This window comes from Homo sapiens, chromosome 11 (assembly GCF_000001405.40).
Source record: "Homo sapiens chromosome 11, GRCh38.p14 Primary Assembly".
Lineage (NCBI taxonomy): Eukaryota > Metazoa > Chordata > Mammalia > Primates > Hominidae > Homo > Homo sapiens.
Window position 1 is genome coordinate 15,569,159 of NC_000011.10, and position 18,849 is coordinate 15,588,007.

The following is an 18,849-nucleotide window of genomic DNA, read 5'->3' on the forward strand; positions in this document are numbered from 1 at the left end:
GGAAGTAACATTGAAATGCTCCACCACTTAAATATCTTGGGAAAGTTTCTATACCTCATCTTACCCAAAAACTGAGGCAAATGGTATTTCTTTCACAGCAGTGATGATGTTAACAATCAAATTCCACAGATATTTACTGAGCACTTGAAACACATGAGAAATTACCTATAGCTGAGTCTGTCACATGGAATTGCACCAAAAATTAGATAAGTTGAAATTTGAAACCCTCATGGGTTAAGTAACCAAGTGTTTTTCTTCAGGGTTCTTTCTTTGCAGACAAAGCAATGACCTTATAGAGGAAGAAAGTGAGACTATAGTGTTAACTGTACAGGGTAAACCAATGGCCAGGACCACATGATCTCTTTTGCCATCGGCTCCCTGTGGCCTAGCACCATGCCCGGCATAACAAGTGTTTAAGTAAGTAATATGTTTACTTATTGAATGCAGAATAAAGGAGTGATGTAAGTAAAAACCATGGGGATCCTAGAAGGCTGTCCCCCACAAAAGGTGATGACACTTTGGCTTTTAGTTAAAAATGTCCTTTTGGTTAGGACAGGAAGGAAAGAAACTCGACTCTGGGAGGGGCCCGAGGGTTGCTTTGGATGGAATTGCTTTGCGGCTTCCTTTGTGAATGTGGGAGAATCTGCTATGTAACAGCTCCTCTGTCTCCATGCTTTTACTCTAAGCAAGCCAGACAAACTCAGGATATCCGTGGGTGGGAATTTATTTTGGCAGCTCAAGTTGTGTAGGAAAGCCAAGAGCCTGGGGCTATTCAGTTGAACAACACGTGTTAATCTCATTCTATTTTGCATAATCTCAGCAAACATTTTGATGTCAAGAAAGTGTAATCCAAGAACAAGCAGCTTCTGTGAGAGGCTTGTTCTTGGCATGGCTCAGTAATACAGGAGGATAGAAGTGAGGTCTGCAGACAAAACCGTTTGTCCAGTACAGGCATGATCACATGCAGAAGCCCATTCTATCCACCAAATTATGATGTTATGGTGCAGAGGATGGGACCCCCAACCTACTAGTGACTGGGGTACAGGGTGACTGCTTTGCCTCTGTAGATTTGAGAGCATGGTTGCTATAGTCGGAATATGTCTTCCAAAATTCATGTGTTGGATGTTTAATCCCAAATGCAACTGTGTTGGGAGGTAGGGCCTAATGGGAGGTATTTAGGTCACAAGGGCACAGCCCTTCATGAACAGATTAATACCACTATAAAAAAGGCTTATGGAAGTGGGTTTGCTCTCTTCTGCTCTTCTGCCATGTGAGAATGCAGCAAGCAGGCCAACACCAGATGCTGGCACCCTGACCTTGAACTTCCCAGCCTCCAGGGATGTGAGAAATAAATTTCTGGTCTTTATAAATTATCCATTCTCAGGTATTCTGTTATAGCAGCACAAAATGGATAGTGGGCATTGGAACTCGTTACAAAAAGAAAAAAAGGAAAAAGCTGATGTGACCGGTAAGAAAATGGTGAAGATGTCATGGAGGAATACATTCCCTGCTACGCCCTGATGGGGTGGGGTCATAAAGATGTGGTTTCTGAGAGCAAACTGTCTACAGTGGGAACGAACAGCCAACTCAAGTCCCTGGCCATAGCTCAAAAACCTTAAGGTGACAAAGGTGGATCTTAGGAGGCGTTGGCCCTCTGCTGATTGCTGTCTCTTGTGCATTCCGATCCTCTACACCATCATCTCCTCTTCACAGGTAACAAATCATGAAAGAATCTGTAATTCTGGTCGAGGTGGGTTTACTCACCAGTAGACGTATATGTGTATATATCTCCCAGTTATGGCATTTTCACATTAAAATGATTTTAAGTGTCACCTAAGAACTCCCTTTATTCCAGTCCCCCCCAACACACACACACACAAATCCCATTGCCCCCACCAGATACTCATTCCATTTGATAGGTAGGAAAACCCAGTTTCATGGAGGGGGATGTGCTTTTTCCAACGGATTCACAGCAACTTAGCGTTAGACAGTGCTGGGCTATGACTTACATCTGTCCGCTCCAGATTCTCTGCTCTTTATGCTCTACACGCTGCCTCCCACACTCAGACTCTCTTATTTCTTGATATTTAGGAAGCATGGCACTTCCAAATCATCTGTATTTTCTCCTGGATGATTTTTACTTGTATCTAGTGGGCTGAGAGTAATGTTAGTCTAGGAGAGAAATCATCACAGGCCCAAGATAAAGGGGATGTTGTTACCATGGACTCCAAGGAAATTAGGCAATAGGATTAAAAAGTATGTGTGTGTGTGTGTGTGTGTGTGTAGATATATATATAAAGAATAAGTATATATAAATATATATGTAAAAGTACATATAAATATATAAAATGTATGTAAGAAATTAAATATAATACAGATATGATATATAATATCTTAATATATGTAATATATTAACTTCTTGTTTATTTGGTATGGGTTTGTGAGTGTAGCATGAAAAGCTTGAAATTAAATCCTGATTCTACCACTCATACGATTAATGACTTTTGTATAGTCAGTTTCTCCCAACTTTAATTTCGTCATGTTTAAATGAAGGATAATTATACCTATTTACCAGGGTTGTGGTAAGGGTCATATGGAATCATGCACTGTTTCAGGGATGCTTTTGACTTTAGTGACAGAAATGTTCACCCATACTGATTTAGACACATACAGATTTAATGTTCTCACACACCAAGATATCTGGAGGCAAGTAACTGCTAGTGTTAACTTAGCAGTTCAATTCAATGTGGGTTGATGCCTTTGCAATTCTCTTCTCCTCTCCTTTATGGTTGTATTATGGCTGCTGCAGCTCTTTCCATCACATCTGTAATCCAGTAGGAAGTGGTAAGGGGAAGCAAAAATGTCTCTGTCAGAAAATCAAAAGCTTTCTCAGAAATCCCACAACAGACTTCCAATTATCCTGTCCAGAGCTGTGTCATATGGACACCTTTGGCTGGAAGGTGGCAAAGAAAAAGAAGTTGGGAAATGGTCCGTCTACTATGTCTGCCAGCAAAAAGCCTTTCCATAGGGCACAATTGTATTAGTATGGAATGAATGCTCTCATTTCTCTTCTTTCAAGAGATTCATGTAAGTGTGCCAGGAGCTCTAGAATAAAGGAAAGATGGTGGGGCTGGTGAAATGACAAAAAGCAGGCTGAGTTTCTGGTCATTTTCTGGAAGACGATTATTTGTTGCCAGACTCGCTTATGCAGGTGACCTCAGTGGTCTGGAAGTCAGCACTACCTGGTGAGTAAGGGGAGAGAGGACTATTGAGGACTAGATAGGAGAAAGACATCCCACCCCACCCTACCCCCACCCACCCTGGCTGGGCTGCTGGACACTTCCATCTGGATATCAGCCCTCAGTCTGGTCGCACTCAACATATCCACAAGCAAATTGGCATTTGGGGGACATTAAACCATCTTTACCATTGGATTTTACTGTCCATCAGGGGCTGCAACAGCTTCTTTCTTGTTGAGGCTCTAAGGTTCAGAGCCCTCTTTTGATTGTGAGGACTGAATCTTAGCAGGCAACTGGCTGTATCACCCAGAAACAAGGCAGTGCTGGTGACAGGGACAGTCAGACAAGATGGAGGGCAGCAAACTGGAGGGGAGCCCTGTCACTTTAGAGGAGGCAGAGTAGAACACAGAACCTCTGTCATGGGGGTATCATCTGGATAAAAGCAAAATGGGCTCTCATCTCTGTTGCCTCCCCTCTCTACTCCATTTCTGGTCAGGCCAAAGATCTATTGCTTGATCTTCTCCAGTCTCTCTCTTTTTCTCAGCCCTTGCCCCTCTCACATGGATTACAGGGTGATATGGTTTGGATTTGTGTCCCTGCCTGCATCTCATGTTGAACTGTAATCCCCAATGTTGGAGGAGGGCCCTGGTGGGAGGTGGTTGGATCATGGGGGCAGATTTCTCCCTTGCTGTTCTCATGATGGTGAGTTTTCATGAGATCTGGTTGTTTAAAAGTGTGTAGCACCTCCTGCTTTATGCTCTTCTTCCTGCTCTGGCCATGTAAGATGTGCCTCCCTCCTCTTTGCCTTCTGCCATGAGTGTAAGTTTCCTGAGGCCTCCCCAGCCATGCTTCCTGTATAGCCTACAGAACCGTGAGCCAATTAAACCTTTTTTCTTTATAAATTACCCAGTCTCAGGTAGTTCTTTATAGCAGTGCAAGAATGGACTAATACACAGGCATAGCCAGACTGGGGATCCTTGACCACAGTCTATCCTCTTCCAACCAGGTGATATCCTGATGGTGTGGAAGGAGCCACTCACCTTGTTGTAGTAAGGATAGCTGAGTTCTAATCTAAGCCTGACTCCTCTCCACTTCCCAGCCATGTGACTATACTGCTTTCATTCTCACTTAACACATTGGTAAATAATATCATCATTAGAGAGTTGCTGCCAGGGCTGAGATAGGCAATGTTTGTGAAAAGGGCCTCATGGGCTTCAAGGACTAATTTGATGGGAATTTGAGTAAGGAAGGGACAAAAGGAATAGGTGGGCTTCAGATGTCTCACCTAAGCTTCGACAAGAGCGGCTCTTCTCTTTTTTACATGTTGGGCTTCTGGAGAAATATCATGTGAAAAAAAGTTTTTCTGAATAAATAAATAAGGAAACCACCAATTTATGTTAAGTGCATAACTCTTAATAAATACTGCTCACTTCCTTTCCCCAACCGCTTCTTCAAAAAATGGCAATTGCCATTTCCAATGACTTTTGCTCCATGCAGTTTTAAAAGTTAAAAAAAAAAATACACTAAATGTTTGCCACTTGCATCTAATTATGAGAATGACTGGTCCAGTGATTCTGTGTATTGAGATCACAACTCCGGTGCTTATCTCTTAATCCATCAGTCCCAGATCACCATCCTGGGACTCATTTTTCTTTGGCATGACTTCTTTCTGCAGCCAAAATTTCCTGGACCTGCCTGAACTGCCGTCTCCATGCAGCTCCCCTTTCACTTAGCTGACCTGATAAATGGCCAACAAGGTCTGGTTTCAGCAATGGGCACGTTTCACTAGAAAACAATTAAAGTGACCAAAACCTGCTGAGATCTAATAAATATTCACTCATCCGCCTGAACAGATGCCAGTTACAGCAGAAGGAAAAAACAGTGTCTGGAGTCAGGGAATTCGCTGTGGTCTGGAGCTCCTAGCACAGGTGTCAAAAGAAATACGATGAAATGAAGATAATCTTGCTATAGAAAGGGCATCAGGGAACAGAGAAAGATGGGGTGCAGGAAGGTAGGTGTCTATGTGAAAGTGACACCCAGAGATCCCACAAGGATTTATCTCCTTTTAGCAGAGATGGTGACTTGAATATGGCTCCTTAATAACGTTTGTATAGTAAATCTTTGGGTCCCTTTGTAGTCCTCAGAACAGGGCCCTAAGATTCAGGGATACTTACAGAGCAAGGCTTAGAGTGCTCAGGCTATAGGAGATATGGGAATGCATGACTCACACTTCTGTGATTAGAGACTTTAGTTCCTGTAGGAGGAATGGCAAGCTCTAGGTGAAGTTCAGGAAGATCTACATGGGCTAGTGGGTCTAAAGATTCTGTAATTTCAAAGGGGAAATCACCTCTGCCTGGAGGGGATTAAGGAAGCTTCATGGATGAAGTGGCATTTAAGATGCATTCTGGAATATGGAGGTGGGTTAAGGCCATTTGAGGAAGAGTGGATTCTGTGAGCAAAGGCTCGGGGAGAGGAGGAGTGGATTGTGCCCAGGGTCAGCTTGAGGTCCTGTAAAATCCTGTGGTTTGGAGACAGAAGACCAGGTTCTGGTCCAAGCCTCCATCTGTTCATAAGGAAACTCAACTTCTGAGAAAAGAGTTATGTGTCCAAATTCACACGGCCAATTAAAGGCTTCTTATGAAGTTCCAGAGTGACAGCTTACCAACAAATGAAGCATCAGTGGACAATACAAGAAGTGGTTTGGTTAATTACTAACTGTGAAAGAAGTTTTTGAGCTCAGAGGAGATAGAGTGCTGTAGGTGACAGAAGAAGCCTTCCTGGAGAAGGCACAGAGAAAGTTTATCAGAGAATAGGGTAGAAGAGCAGAATGAGGGACAAGGAACTTCTAACTGTGGAACCCAGGCACTGGGTCAGGCACAATATACATCTAATTGATAAAAAGGCTAATTGCAGTTACTATTTTTGGTGACCAATTATGTATTAGACATTTTATTTACATCATCTCTAAAATGTAAAATGATCCTGCCAGGTATGAAAAATTATTCCATTTTGCAAATTAGAAAACAGAAGGTCGAAAGAATTACCCAATCCACCCTGCTGTCAGGAATCACAGCCAAGAAATAAAAAGTGATCTGCTCCCTATACCACATTGATGCCAAGGTTGTTTTTGTCTATTTATTTACCTAACAATTACAAAATAATCACTATCCCACTTTACATATGAGAAAACATGTTCAGAGTGGCTAAGTAATTTACCCAAGGCCACACAGCAAGGATGTGGCAGGTTCTGTCTAAGGGCAGAGCTGATGCTTTTTGCCGGATGACACATTCTTTACCATTGTGGATTTGGATGGGTCTAAAGGGAATGGACAAAGTGAGAGTACAAAGGTGTGGAGGCTGGAACAAGCACATGAACCTATAGAATGTTGAGGCCACCTGCCTCCTGTCCATCTGGATCTGTGTGAATCTGAAGGGCACAACATCTTGATCTTGGCTCCACCTTCTGTTCTCAGTTCAAAGACTTCTCAAGCCAGAGTATTCTTTACTCTAGCTACATTGTGCTTTGGGTAATGAAAGGTTGAAATTGTGAAATTCTCTAGTTTCACTCTCCCTGCTCACTATATAGACAAACCTGGCTCCCTAATTTCTGGGTAAGTTATTTCTTCTGTTCGAGCCTCAGTTTCCTCCTGTGTTAAATGGGAGCATCGATCTTCACTTCAAGGATTGTGTGAGTAATAAATTAAACAATGTTGATTAAGAGTTTGTAGCAGGCTGGGCGTGGTGGCTCATGCCTGTAATCCCAGCACTTTGGGAAGCTGAGGAGGGCAGTTACTTGAGTTCAGGAGATCGAGACCAGCCTGGCTAGCATGGTGAAACCCTGTCTCTACTAAAAATACAAAAATTAGCTGGGCATGGTGGCACACACCTGTAATCCCAGCTATTCAAGAGGCTGAAGCGAGAGAATTGCTTGAACCCAGGAGGCAGAGGTTACAGTCGCTGAGATTGCGCAACTGCACTCCAGCCTGGGTGACAGAGCGAAACTCCGTCTCAAAAAAATAAAAATTTAGAACAATGTCTGGCACACATTTGGCATTTCATACAGAGCTGTGGTAGTAGTACTGTTATCAGTAGACGGTGTATTGTTAATATGACCATTTTCATCTGCCCCAGCCACTCAGTCCTCAGCCCCCAGGATCCATCAGACCTGAGCCAGCCAGCCAGTATCAGTATCCCTCCTGTTCTCTCCCAACTGATATGGGCTTTCAGCAAGACTCTTTTTTGCTATATGGCAGGAAGGACTGAGCTAGAAGAATAGGAGTGATGTGGGGTATAACTGGGCAGGGCAGCCAGGAGTTTTTAAAAATAATTCATGGAAGTGATGGGGAGTCCCAGGGTAGGGGACAGCACATAAAGCAGGCATTGCCCCATGGCTAACCAAGACTCCCTAGGGAAACCAATTTCTGAGAAGAAAATGAATTCTCTCCTCTCCAGTCTCTCCTCATTCCTACCTCACCCTCCTTTGCCAACTCTGGGCTCCAGCTGGTCTGGGACGCAGCTCACCTCTGCCCGGTCATTAACAGTTCGTTTGCTTAAATACCCATCATCATTACTGCCAATGGCTCCTCAGGGCACCATTGCATCTCAGGAACAGCAGCAGACATTCTCCTCTGACTGATGGCCCCACGCTCAGCCCTGCTACCTGCTAATGACTCCTGGGCTGACAGCCCAGTTTGGGGGCAGCAGGATGTGGAACACTGAAGGAGGTCTGTACTTCTCCTGTGAGTTCCTCTGACCCTCATAGTCCTGGAAAAGACTTGGCCCTGAGAATGACAATGCCCCAAATCCTCAAGGAAGAGGGTACAGGAGGCATCCTCAGTGACCACTGTCTAAAATCTCACTTCCTGAGAGGTTGTCTCTGCTCATGTCACAGGGTATCTCTGTTTTCCTTTTGCTTGGAGGGTGTTTCTCCTGAGTATGTCAGGACATGAGATCCAAGAGGAAGGAGACTCCCCTGACTTGACTACCACATCGTGCCAGCCTATTTAGAAAGACTCTCTCATCTCTGCATTTCCAGGCAGGTGGGATTGTGCCCACTTTACAGATGAGGGATCTGAGACTCATGGAATTTGAGTGAGCTTCCCAAGATCACACAGCCAGGGTGTGGCAGTGTCATTTTCTAAATTCAGTTTGGTCCAAACCCAAAGGCCAAACTTCTTCCTCTGCCCCAGATGTTCAATGTGAGGCAAGCACGAGGATTCTGCAAAATTGAGAAGCCAATAGGCATGGATAAATTGAGCAACTGCCTACCTTACAAAAGCATTTTCTGTTAAAAATGTTACTTAGTTATGAAGACATTTTGTGGTTTTGTTTGAGGGGAACACCACTAATTTTCCCCTTCCCTGACTCACTGACCCCTCCCCTTTTCTGCATTATCTCATAGGATGCTGTTTCTGTTTATTCCGGGCACAGGAGACTGCTCTTAGTAACAACACTGTCTAATTTTTCAATATGCCAAGGGCTTTTTAAAGCTTGACATGTGTTAAGTCATTGAATGTTTACAATAAACCCATGTGGTGGGTCTTGTTCCTATAAGCATTCACAGATGAGGGAATTGAGGACAGAGAGGCTAAAAAAACTTGCTCAAGGTCATCATAGCTAAGTTAGAATCCTTAAAGGGCGTGGTGAGAGGCATATCTCTTTAAGGGCATCATTCCTGTGCTCATGTGCTCCTATCTTTGTCTGACCCTCTTTTTTTTTTTTTTTTTTGAGGCAGAGTCTCACTCTGTCACCAGGCTGGAGTGCAGTGGCACGATCTCAGCTCACTGCAACCTCTGCCTGCACGGGTTCAAGTGGTTCTCCTGCCTCAGCCTCCCGAGTAGCCGGGACTACAGGTGCCCATGCCCAGCTAATTTTTGTTATTGTTTTTGTGTGTGTGTGTATATATTTTAGTATACACAAACATGGGGTTTCACCATGTTGGCCAGGATGGTCTCAATCTCCTGACCTCGTGATCTGCCCATCTAGGCCTCCCAAAGTGCTGGGATTACAGGCGTGAGTCACCATGCCCAGCCATGGTCTGATCTTCTTAAATCACCTACAGTTTAAGCTATAATATCGGGAGTTGAGGAACAGATTGCTGTGGAGTGAAGCAGGTTTAGAAGGGCCTGAAGCCTGGACATGCTTTGTGGTGGGGTTGGGCATGGGGGCTGACCTGGTGCTGGCAGGGAGAATACATCTTGCTTAACAGGAGAGAACAATCTCCAAGCCCCTTGTCAGCAGGAGGAGATATCAGGGCAGGGACCAGGTTCTATAATAGGTCTGGAAGCTGCTAGGAAGCTCAGCCAGGAGCTGGAGGGTAGGCTTGAGGGAGGCATTGATTGTGGGACCAGAATCAGGAATGTATTCAGAAGAAGGGCCTTGGGCCCTCAGGATGAATTTATGGTGTGGCTCTCAAACCAGGCAGAATGAATCACCCCCTCCTCTGGCTCCCTAGCATTTGACCACATCCCTGTTGTCACACTTATTTCTTTGTCTAAGTTGCAAAGCTAACCATGTCATTCCTCAGCTTAAAAAATTTTTAATGGCTCTGTAAGGCTACAGGATAAATCCCAAACACCTAAAAATAATTTCCAAGGACCCCCCCGACAATGCAGTCCTGGATGACACCTTTGGCATCATCTGTCACCTCCCCTTGTGAGCTTTGTTTCATCAGAACAACACAACTGTCAGTCCACATCACAACAGGTTTCCTCTCATCCTCTTCTATCATGTACCTGTGATTCCCTTTGCTGGGAAACTATCTCTACCTTTCTGGCCACAGCTACACCACATACATTTACACCTATGCCCTGTTGCCTGGAGAATTATTCATTTTTTGGCTCAGATATTGGTGCTGCTGGGAGCCCTTCTTAGCCAACCCCACTCCAATCCTAATGGCCAGACCACGTTTCAATGCCCTTGCTGTATTTCCTCTTAGCAACCGGTATTTTCCTCCATCATGCACTTGCCCTCTGGACTGTGATGGCTTTTTGGTCTGTGATGGACCTTCGCTCTCACCCCATGAGGGCAGGCACTCTGTCGTTTTCATCATTGTATACCAGTGTCTGACACGCAGTATGTGGTTAATCCACATTGCGGAATGATTGAGTGGCCTCCATGTTTTTGCCCTGAGACTAGTTCCTTTCCAGAGTGACTCGGACACTATATCTGGGTTATCAGTAGGACTCAAGAGCCTCCCTCAAGGTGGGCACAGAGCAGACAGAAGTAGAATCTGACTTGACTGAAAACAACCTAGGAAATCGTGCAGTGGGACCAGCACCTGTTCCCAGACTTCAGTGAAATAGTCAGTCAGGCCCAGGTCATGAAAATGGGAACCAGCGAGTGCTAGGCCCTGAGGTTAGTGTCAGGTTGCAGCCAGGATGGCCATGCCAAGTCACCCTGTGTCCCCAATAATAGATACTTAAAGAACCACAAGCTGGTGACAGGACTGGTCCCTGAGGCTTGTTTGAAGCTGACCTCTAATTAGTGTCATGTGGAAAAGCTGGGACTATGGGAGCGGAGGAAAGGCAGTGTGTGCAATGAGTCCCCGTGCATGAGCAAGAGAGGGCAGTTGGAGAAAGGAGAGACTGAAATGTCCCCTCGCAGGCTGAGTTAGTGGGAGGCTAAGAGCCCCTCTTCCTCTTGGCTTTCTGAGGCTGAGGCTGGACTGGAGGGACCCTCAGCAGGAGAGGTCCCCCAGAGAGGCCCAGTCCTAGGAGAGGTTCACATTGCAGTGTGGCCCCAAAATGGGCAGGGACCCTGACTGAGGCAAGTCCCAGGAGCTGACTCAGCTGAACAAAGGTCTAAGGTCAAGTTCTGGCTCAATTAGTTGGCCTGTGTGAACCTGATAAGTCACTTCCCATCTATGAACTTCAATTTCCTTCTCAACAGAATGCAGAAGTTGAGCCTAAGGTCTGCAATTACCTAACCCACTTAGTCTAGCATCTAAAACCTAGCTGTGTATGTGCCAGCTTTATCCAGTTTAATCCACTCAACCTCAGTAAATACTTGTCTGCATAATATAATAGCATAGTCCCTGGAGTCAGATTAGTGGGGTCTGAACTCTGATCTTGCAACTTGCTAGATGCGGGACCTTGGAAAATATTCTTGACTTCTCCATGACTAGCTTTCTTCATCTCTAAAAAGGGAATAGCATTTGTCATCAGACTCTTAGGAGGGTTACATGAGACAGTGCAGGTAAAGCAGAGGCTGGCTCATGATACAAGCTTGATAAACATTGGCTAATATTGTCAGTCAGGATCCTCCAGATTTTGTCAACACACCCAATTGATTTTCACTCACTTTCATTTGCCCTTTTCTCCCCAATTCCTCTCTACTTCTATCCAAACCTAACCTATCCTTCAAAGGTGGTATATTAGTCAGACTTCTCCAGAGAAACAGAACCAATAGGATTAATTAATTAATGAATTCCTTATAAGAAAGTGACTCACATGTTTACAGGGCTGGCAAGTCCCAGGGTAAGTTAGGCAGGCCGAACACCCAGGAGAGTCAATGGTTTGGTTCTAGTCCAAAGGCCAGCAAACTTGAGACCCAGGAAGAGCTGATGTTTCAATTCAAGTCCTAATGCAGGAAAATGTCAGCATCCCAGTTTGAGAGCAGTCAGGAGGGAGGAATTCTATTACACCCAGAGGGTCGGCCTCTATGTTCTATTCAAGCCTTCGACTAACTGGATGGTGCCCAACCACATTAGGGAGGGCAATCAGCTTTCCTCAGTCAAATGCAATTCTCACCCAAAAACACCTTCACAGAAACATCCAGAATAATGTTTGACTAAACGTCTGGGCATGCTGTGGCCCAGTCAAGTTGACACATACAATTAACCATCACAGGTGGCTCAAGGACCCCTCCTCCTCCTGATAGACCCACTCACGTCTTCCATTGCCTGGGATCTTGAACTTGTCTTTTTCTGAACTACTAGAGGATTATTTCTGGTTGTCCTATTTTTTTTTCCTTTTTCTTTTTCTTTTTTCTTTCTTTCTTTTTTTTTTTTTTTGCCAATCACTTGCATTATGATCTTCATTATAAAAGAAGAACAATTAAGGCTGGGCATGGTGGCTCACGCCTGTAATCCCGGCACTTTTGGAGGCTGAGGCGGGGGGGAGCACCTGAGTTCAGGAGTTCAAGACCAGCCTGGCCAACATGGCAAAACCCTGTCTCAACTAAAAATACAAAACTTAGCCAGGCATGGTGGCACACACCTATAGTCCTAGCTACTTGGGAGGCTGAGGCAGGAGAATCGCTTGAACCCCGGAGGCAGAGGTTGCAATGAGCCAAGATTGTACCACTGCACTCCAGCCTGGGTGACAGAGTGAGATTGTATCTCAAAAAACAAACAAACAAACAGACAACCAAAAAAACCAATTTATTCAACACCTACTGTGTGCTAGCCACAGGGTGGTAGCAGTTACTATTCCCATTTTTAAAGATGAGGAAACCGAGGCTTTGAGGGTTTAAGAAACTTACCTAAGGGACATTTTGTAACTGAGGGAACCGGGGTCCAAATCTAGATCTTCTTGACTCCAAACTCATGCTTTTTCCAATACACCAAGCTATCTCTCTCACTATTATTTAAGTAATCCACCAACAGGTGTTTTCCCTTTCTCATTGGATTGTAAGCTGCTAAAAGGAAGTAATTTATGCTTCTCTGGATCTTTCACTGAGTTTAACATGGTAACTAATTGCTTGATAAAATGGAGACGCATCTGGTTGTGATTTTTTTAAAACAAAAGTATGGCTGTGGCAAAGGACCAAGTGTCATTTGAGCTTGAGGTAGGGAATTTTGAGGGAGTCTCAAGGTGTATTACTTTCATTTCTCAGTTACCATGCACCATGTCTTTGCATTTCATCTGGAGTGGGCCCATTTCCCAAGAGGAGGAGAAGTCATCAGCCCTGCAATCCCCACCCTGCAGTCATTCTTTCACTTCTCCAGTTTCTATCTTCTCCAGCTCCTCAGCCCCCTGGATATTTTCTTTCAGGCTCATTCTTGTCCTCTATATGTGTCTCCATCTTTACCCCTTCCAGTGTCATCCTAATTGGGGCAAGAAAGACTTAACCTGCACTTTCCCTGTTCATCCCCAATCCAAATGCCTAGCTGGTCTGGTCTAGATTTCTCTCATCTCCTGGGTTCAGTTCATCATAGGTTTGGAAGCACTTTGTGTCTTCATAGTCCATTAAATGGCTTTGCCTTCTTATTTTAAGATCTTCTTTTTCTGCTAGGTCCTAGTTTGAGTGAGATTCTGTTACTGCAACTAAGAGATCCCTATCTGAGACATCTCAGTGACTCAAGAGGTATTCTAAATTCTACTTCAGTTCTAAGGTAACTTTTGAAAATAATGATGAGTAAGAATAAAGCTTCTTTATTTTCTTTATTAAAAGCAACACAAATGATTTAAAGATTTTTTTTTTTCAAGTAAAATGGCCTCATTGTGTCCAAAGACATTGCAAATCACATTGCAAATAGGTCAGTGGGACTGGATGGAGTAAGCAAGGTGAACTCATTGATGATTCAGGGAGAGGGACAACAAGGTAACTGTGGAAGGGGGTGGCTTGAGGAAGGTAGAGATTACGTAGGGCTTTGTAATTAGTAAGTTTTGCCTTTGTTTTTTATTGTGGGTTTTTAAAAAGATACCTATTTATTGTTAACTATGAATAAGATAGAAAGTCATTAGGGCAGTCTGAGCAGCAGAGTGACGTGATCTGAGTATACTTTTAACAAAACCTGTCTGGCTGCTGTATGGGGAATTGACGGTTGCGGGGCAAGGCAGGAGCAAGGAATACTGCAATAATCCAGGTGAGGGGTGGTGGCAGCCTGAGTGGTAGACACGGATGTGGGGAAAGTGAATGGACTTGGCAGTGATGATAGCATCTAATGGATTAAACCATATCTGCTTTGTGAGGGCAGAAGAGTAAACTGTGATATCCTAAAGGCCTGTCCCAAACAAAAACCACTACCACTTTATAAATCCGGCAGCTCATAACAGGGGGTTTCACTGGAGGTTGAACTTAAATATGTGTGTGTGAAAAGGGTTGACAATTTTCATGAGGACTCTAATCATCTTCTTGGGAGGAAAGGATTCAGAGCTAAGCCTCTGGATGCGGGAGATCATGGAAAGAGTACAGTGGATACATAAACGTGAGGGTGGCCACTGCACCCAGAACCAGCCTGGCTATCTATTTGGTGGCAGGCTTGTGCCCTAGAGAAGTGGCTGAGCAAGTGAATGTAAAGAGGGGAGCCCAGGCTAGGGGAATGCGCTGAGCAGATCTTAGCGATTAGAAGGTCATCTTCCCTGGCTCTTTGAAGAACCTCTGTGGCTTGGACAGGGCCTGCTCTGCTATCCATGGCAGACCTTGGAGTGGGCTGCTAGGCCTCAAGACTTCCTGCTCACCAGGCAGTGAGAATGCAGCTCAGCCAGGAAGGAATGGTCAGCAGCAGAGAGCAGTGTCTGTTTGGATTGCCCACATGTCTGCCTGGACAGCAGGAGACCTCCAGGTTTACACTTCCCTTAATGTCGAAAGGCTAATGCAGATCATGAAACAAATCTCACTCTCTATCCTCCTGAGCACAGCATAATGGCAGAGCTGTCAGAGAAGACACTTGGCAGAATGTATCCTTCTACTTGGCATGATATAATTTGCACCACCTCTACAAACTTCCTAACTCTTTCCTAAAAATAGTGCTTCAATTAGAAAGTGGCACAACTTCTGTTGGGGAAAGTGTGAACAGCCACAAAATGCTCCATAAAGGAAGGAACAGGTGAGACCCCAGTAGATCAACAAATGCCAAATGATATACTATAATGTATGGTAATTGGTTATTATTAAAATAGTCTATTGCTTATCACACAGTAGCTAAATGGCCTTTCAGTTGCTCTATAATTACCCAGTGATGGGTGATCTGTTTTCTTCTTTGGGAGCTGGGTACCAAGGATATCAGAGCAGCATCTGTCACAACACAGGAAAAGAGCACAGAGAAGGGAGGGTTTCTGCCAAGGTGGGGTTGCGCCGGGTTGCTTCAGAAATCCCCCACAGGGCCAAATGCTCTTAGGAGTTTTCACAGGGCCAGGGAGCAGAGAATGAGGCGCCGTCTCCGCAGGCCTTCCTCTGCCTTGTATCCCTTCTTCCTGTCCTTGAAGCTACCTCTTTAGAAGTTTTCTAAAAGTTTTTGCTGCTGGTGGAGAAAAGACACATTTGTGTAGGGTGAGGCGGGGCTGGGAGATCCCATGCCCTGATTCTGCTCCTTCAGTGAAGCCATAGGGAAGCCTGGGCCTCACGGGACATTGCTAATGCTGAGGATCTGAGGCTAAAACATGAGATTCAGTGATCTCAGGGAGACCTAGATCGGATCCCTAGGGAGGTGGAGAGAGCAGCGGTATCTGAGATGAAGACTCAGCCCAGGAAAACATGAGGGAGAAGAAGGCAGGGCCAAAGGGATCCAAGAACTGGAAGGCACATGCAATCCGTGGAGGGCTGACCTTCCATTCCTCAGATGGGGAAGAAGGACTTAGAGAGGGAGCGGCCCCTCCAGAGCCACACACTGTGATGACAACCAGAGCTTGGGTGAGAGGTCTGGTCTTCCGAATTCATCCAGCAGGCCCCGAACTGGGTGCACTGCTAAGGCCATTTGTGCTGAGGCTAGGAAAACAGGAAGACAGGGAAACGCAGGGCCCCAATTCCTCTTCTCCATCCCCTCACTGTGCTTCAACAGGCCTCACTCTGGCCCTGGGGCAAGATGAGAGGAGGGGGCAGTTTTATAGAAGGATGAGGTACTCAAAAGTCCAGCTGGTTACAGGATACAAAAGGAATACCTGTGACTTCTGGGCTGGTTTGTTTGCTCCTGAGTCGGTAACAGGAGCTACGGTTGGAGTGGAGTGTGACCTTAGCAAAAGAGAAATACATGAATCAGGAGGGAATATCTCAGGAAAAGCCTCTGTCACCTCTTATTTATGGTTCTTTTTTTTTTTTTTTTTTTTAAGAGGAAGGGTCTTGCTACTGCCCAGGCCAGAGTATAGTGACACAAACATTGCTCACTACAGCCTCGAATTCCTGGGCTCAAATGATCCTCTCACCTCAGCCTCCCAAAGTGCTAGGATTACCAGCATGAGCTACCACACCCAATGACTGTCTTTTATGTCAATGGTATTAATAGTTATTTTTTTCAACCCAACTAAACCCAAAGCTTCGTACACTCTAAAATAGCTAATGAGTGTTTGCTGAATGAATTTATGAATGAATGGGAAGATGTATGAATACTTAACATTACAAACGATCCATTTCTATTTCCATTTTTTTAGAGCTTAAAGTTTTGGCTTGTGTTACTTCCTTGGGGAGATCTTGCTGGACCACATCAGGAATAGGAGGGGTGTGTCCCCACAGCACTGTGTACACGGTACGTTGCCATAGTGTATTGTAAGTACCTTTTGGGGAGTCTCTCTACCCCACTACACAGGTTTTTAACCATTGTATCCCCAGTAGTTAGCACAGGCCTGTCATAGAGATGTTCAGAAATGTTTGTGGAATGATTGAGTATTCAAACACACACACACACACACACACACTCACACATCTGTTCTAAATTATGGAAACATAGATAGAGAATTTTTTTTTGTCTGCAAAGCTTTTATTTTCCATTTCAACCAGATCTCAATTTTTTTGGAGAGATTAATTTTCCCCTGTTATTTGCAATCTTGGTTGAATGGTAAATCCAGATACCTGCTCTCCCGCCCATAGAAGTCAAAGGGGTCACTGAGGGCTTATCTGCCAGAACCAGGGGCCAGCTGGTGCTCTCTCTGAGGAGTCTGATTTCTGAGCAAATAATACAAAGATGAATAATACAAAGAGGTGGTCAGAGTTCATTTATTCCCACAGTTCCATGATCTGACTACTCCTGCTATAAAAATATACCTGTAGCTCCTCATTCTGCATTATTTGGTTCCAGCCTACTTCCAAGCCTGGTTCTCCAACTTTTCCAATGATTCATTAAGCTCCTGTTATCCTTCCAATAAATTCCCTTATACTTACATCAGCCAGAGTTAATTTTGCTGCTTACAATGAAAAACTTCTTACTGACACAGTCACAAATTATTTTCTGAGCATGAATACATGCTCAGCTGAGGGCCTGGCCCTTCTGTGGAATAAATGAATTATGTCTAGTAGATCCCCACTTATGGCTGCCCCTCAGAAATGTTCACTGAAAATACTTATTTTTCACAAATATCATAGAAGCTCAAGGGTTTGAAAGCAAATCCAGATTTCTCTCTTGGCATCTCCCAGATTAGGAGGAATGAAATATAAGCTCTGCAACTTGCCAGAGACATTTGAGTGGACATTTCAACTCTGGGGTGCCTAGGCCCTGCCAACTTAGATGGCCTCTTCTGCCTTTGCTAAGGGAAGGATGCCAGGCTGCTCAAACAGACCTGCCTGTGATCAGCACCTCTTCCCCAGTGTGGGCCTTGGTGACAGGGAAAGTGGTGAGTGAGGAGGTGCTCACCTCTGTACACACCCAGGAAAAGAAAAGGAACCTGAGCATAGAAATTTTCCTTAAGCCAGACCCACTTAATTTTCCAGCCAAGCACTAACAATAAAGGAGCTTGGAAACATATCTCTTCCAAGAGAAAATCTGTCCTGGCCTCCACTGTGGGTGTGGTATGGTGGCTGTTACCAGCACTAATGGAATATCTAGGGAAACACATTTCTTTGTTTGTTTTTTTAAAATATTAAATATGTTAGACAGAAGCATCCCATCCTTTCTGTGAAAAAGACGAGACCCAAATCAGATGAGTGTAGAGACAACATTGTTTAAGGGGCCAGCATGGTCTTTGTACCACACGCTGTAACCCACAGGGCTGATGCTGAGATTTGGGTTTCAAGAGCTGGATGATCACCAGGGCTCTGGGTAGAGGTTGGCTCTCAGTGCCCCCTCAAAGGCATTACTGGAAGCCAATTGTTCAGGGAAAAGCAAGTTAGCTTGGAACAGTGGAAGGAAATTATCTCATCTGCTATACCACAACCCTATGGAGTAATAACAATGGTTATCCCACTCTGTGCCATAAAATCTCTATGTCAGCTCATTAAATATAACAGTCTGCAAGACATGTATTCTTATACTTATTCAACAGAAGTAGAAGCCAACGTCCAGAGAGCTTAAGTAATTTGCCCAAAGTCATAACTGGTTAGTATGGTAGCTTAAATTTGAGGATTTCTTCTCTGAGTCCAAATCCTGTGCTCTTTAAGACCTGCCGATTCCCTGTGCTGTTGTAATTTTGGGGAAATTGTTTTTGTTTCTGGACCTCCATGGCCTCCTCAGTACAATGGAGAGATTGGTTCAATCATCTCTGATATCCCTCTTCACTAAAGTTACATCTATTTGGGACCGAAGATCCGGGACCACTGTACCCATAAAATACAAAGCAATCACCTCTGATTTGACTCAGGCACCAAAGGAAAAGCCAGCCTTTGACTTACAAATGGACAAAAGGGGGTCTGTCTGTACTCCTCCAAGAAGCAGAAAGGTACACAGATACTAGTCCAAAAGGCCCAGCAGTCTCTGATAGGTATTGCCGCAAGGAATTTATGGGAGAAAGAAGATTAATTC

General features: G+C 44.5%; 2 long non-coding RNA genes across 7 annotated transcripts in view, besides 1 other annotated feature; one reads left to right on the forward strand and one right to left on the reverse strand.

Annotated features, from left to right (window-relative positions):
* The window catches only part of LINC02751 (long intergenic non-protein coding RNA 2751), a 152,600-nt gene that overhangs the window by 16,386 nt on the left and 117,365 nt on the right, over nt 1–18,849 (forward strand). For all 5 annotated transcript variants that reach the window (NR_169502.1, NR_169503.1, NR_169504.1 and 2 more), the window contains one exon: nt 16,550–16,644. This is a non-coding gene — a long non-coding RNA (long intergenic non-protein coding RNA 2751). The remainder of the gene's footprint in view (nt 1–16,549; nt 16,645–18,849) is intronic.
* The window catches only part of LOC105376568 (uncharacterized), a 51,914-nt gene continuing 35,720 nt past the window's right edge, over nt 2,656–18,849 (reverse strand). For both annotated transcript variants that reach the window (XR_931075.3, XR_931072.4), the window contains one exon: nt 2,656–3,242. This is a non-coding gene — a long non-coding RNA (uncharacterized LOC105376568). The remainder of the gene's footprint in view (nt 3,243–18,849) is intronic.
* Nucleotides 16,951–17,151: a silencer, noted in NCBI's record as "peak1210 fragment used in MPRA reporter construct". NCBI's record gives its function as "represses an SCP1 promoter by STARR-seq MPRAs in K562 erythroleukemia cells {active_cell/tissue: K562}" and the evidence as "EXISTENCE:reporter gene assay evidence [ECO:0000049][PMID:32103011]".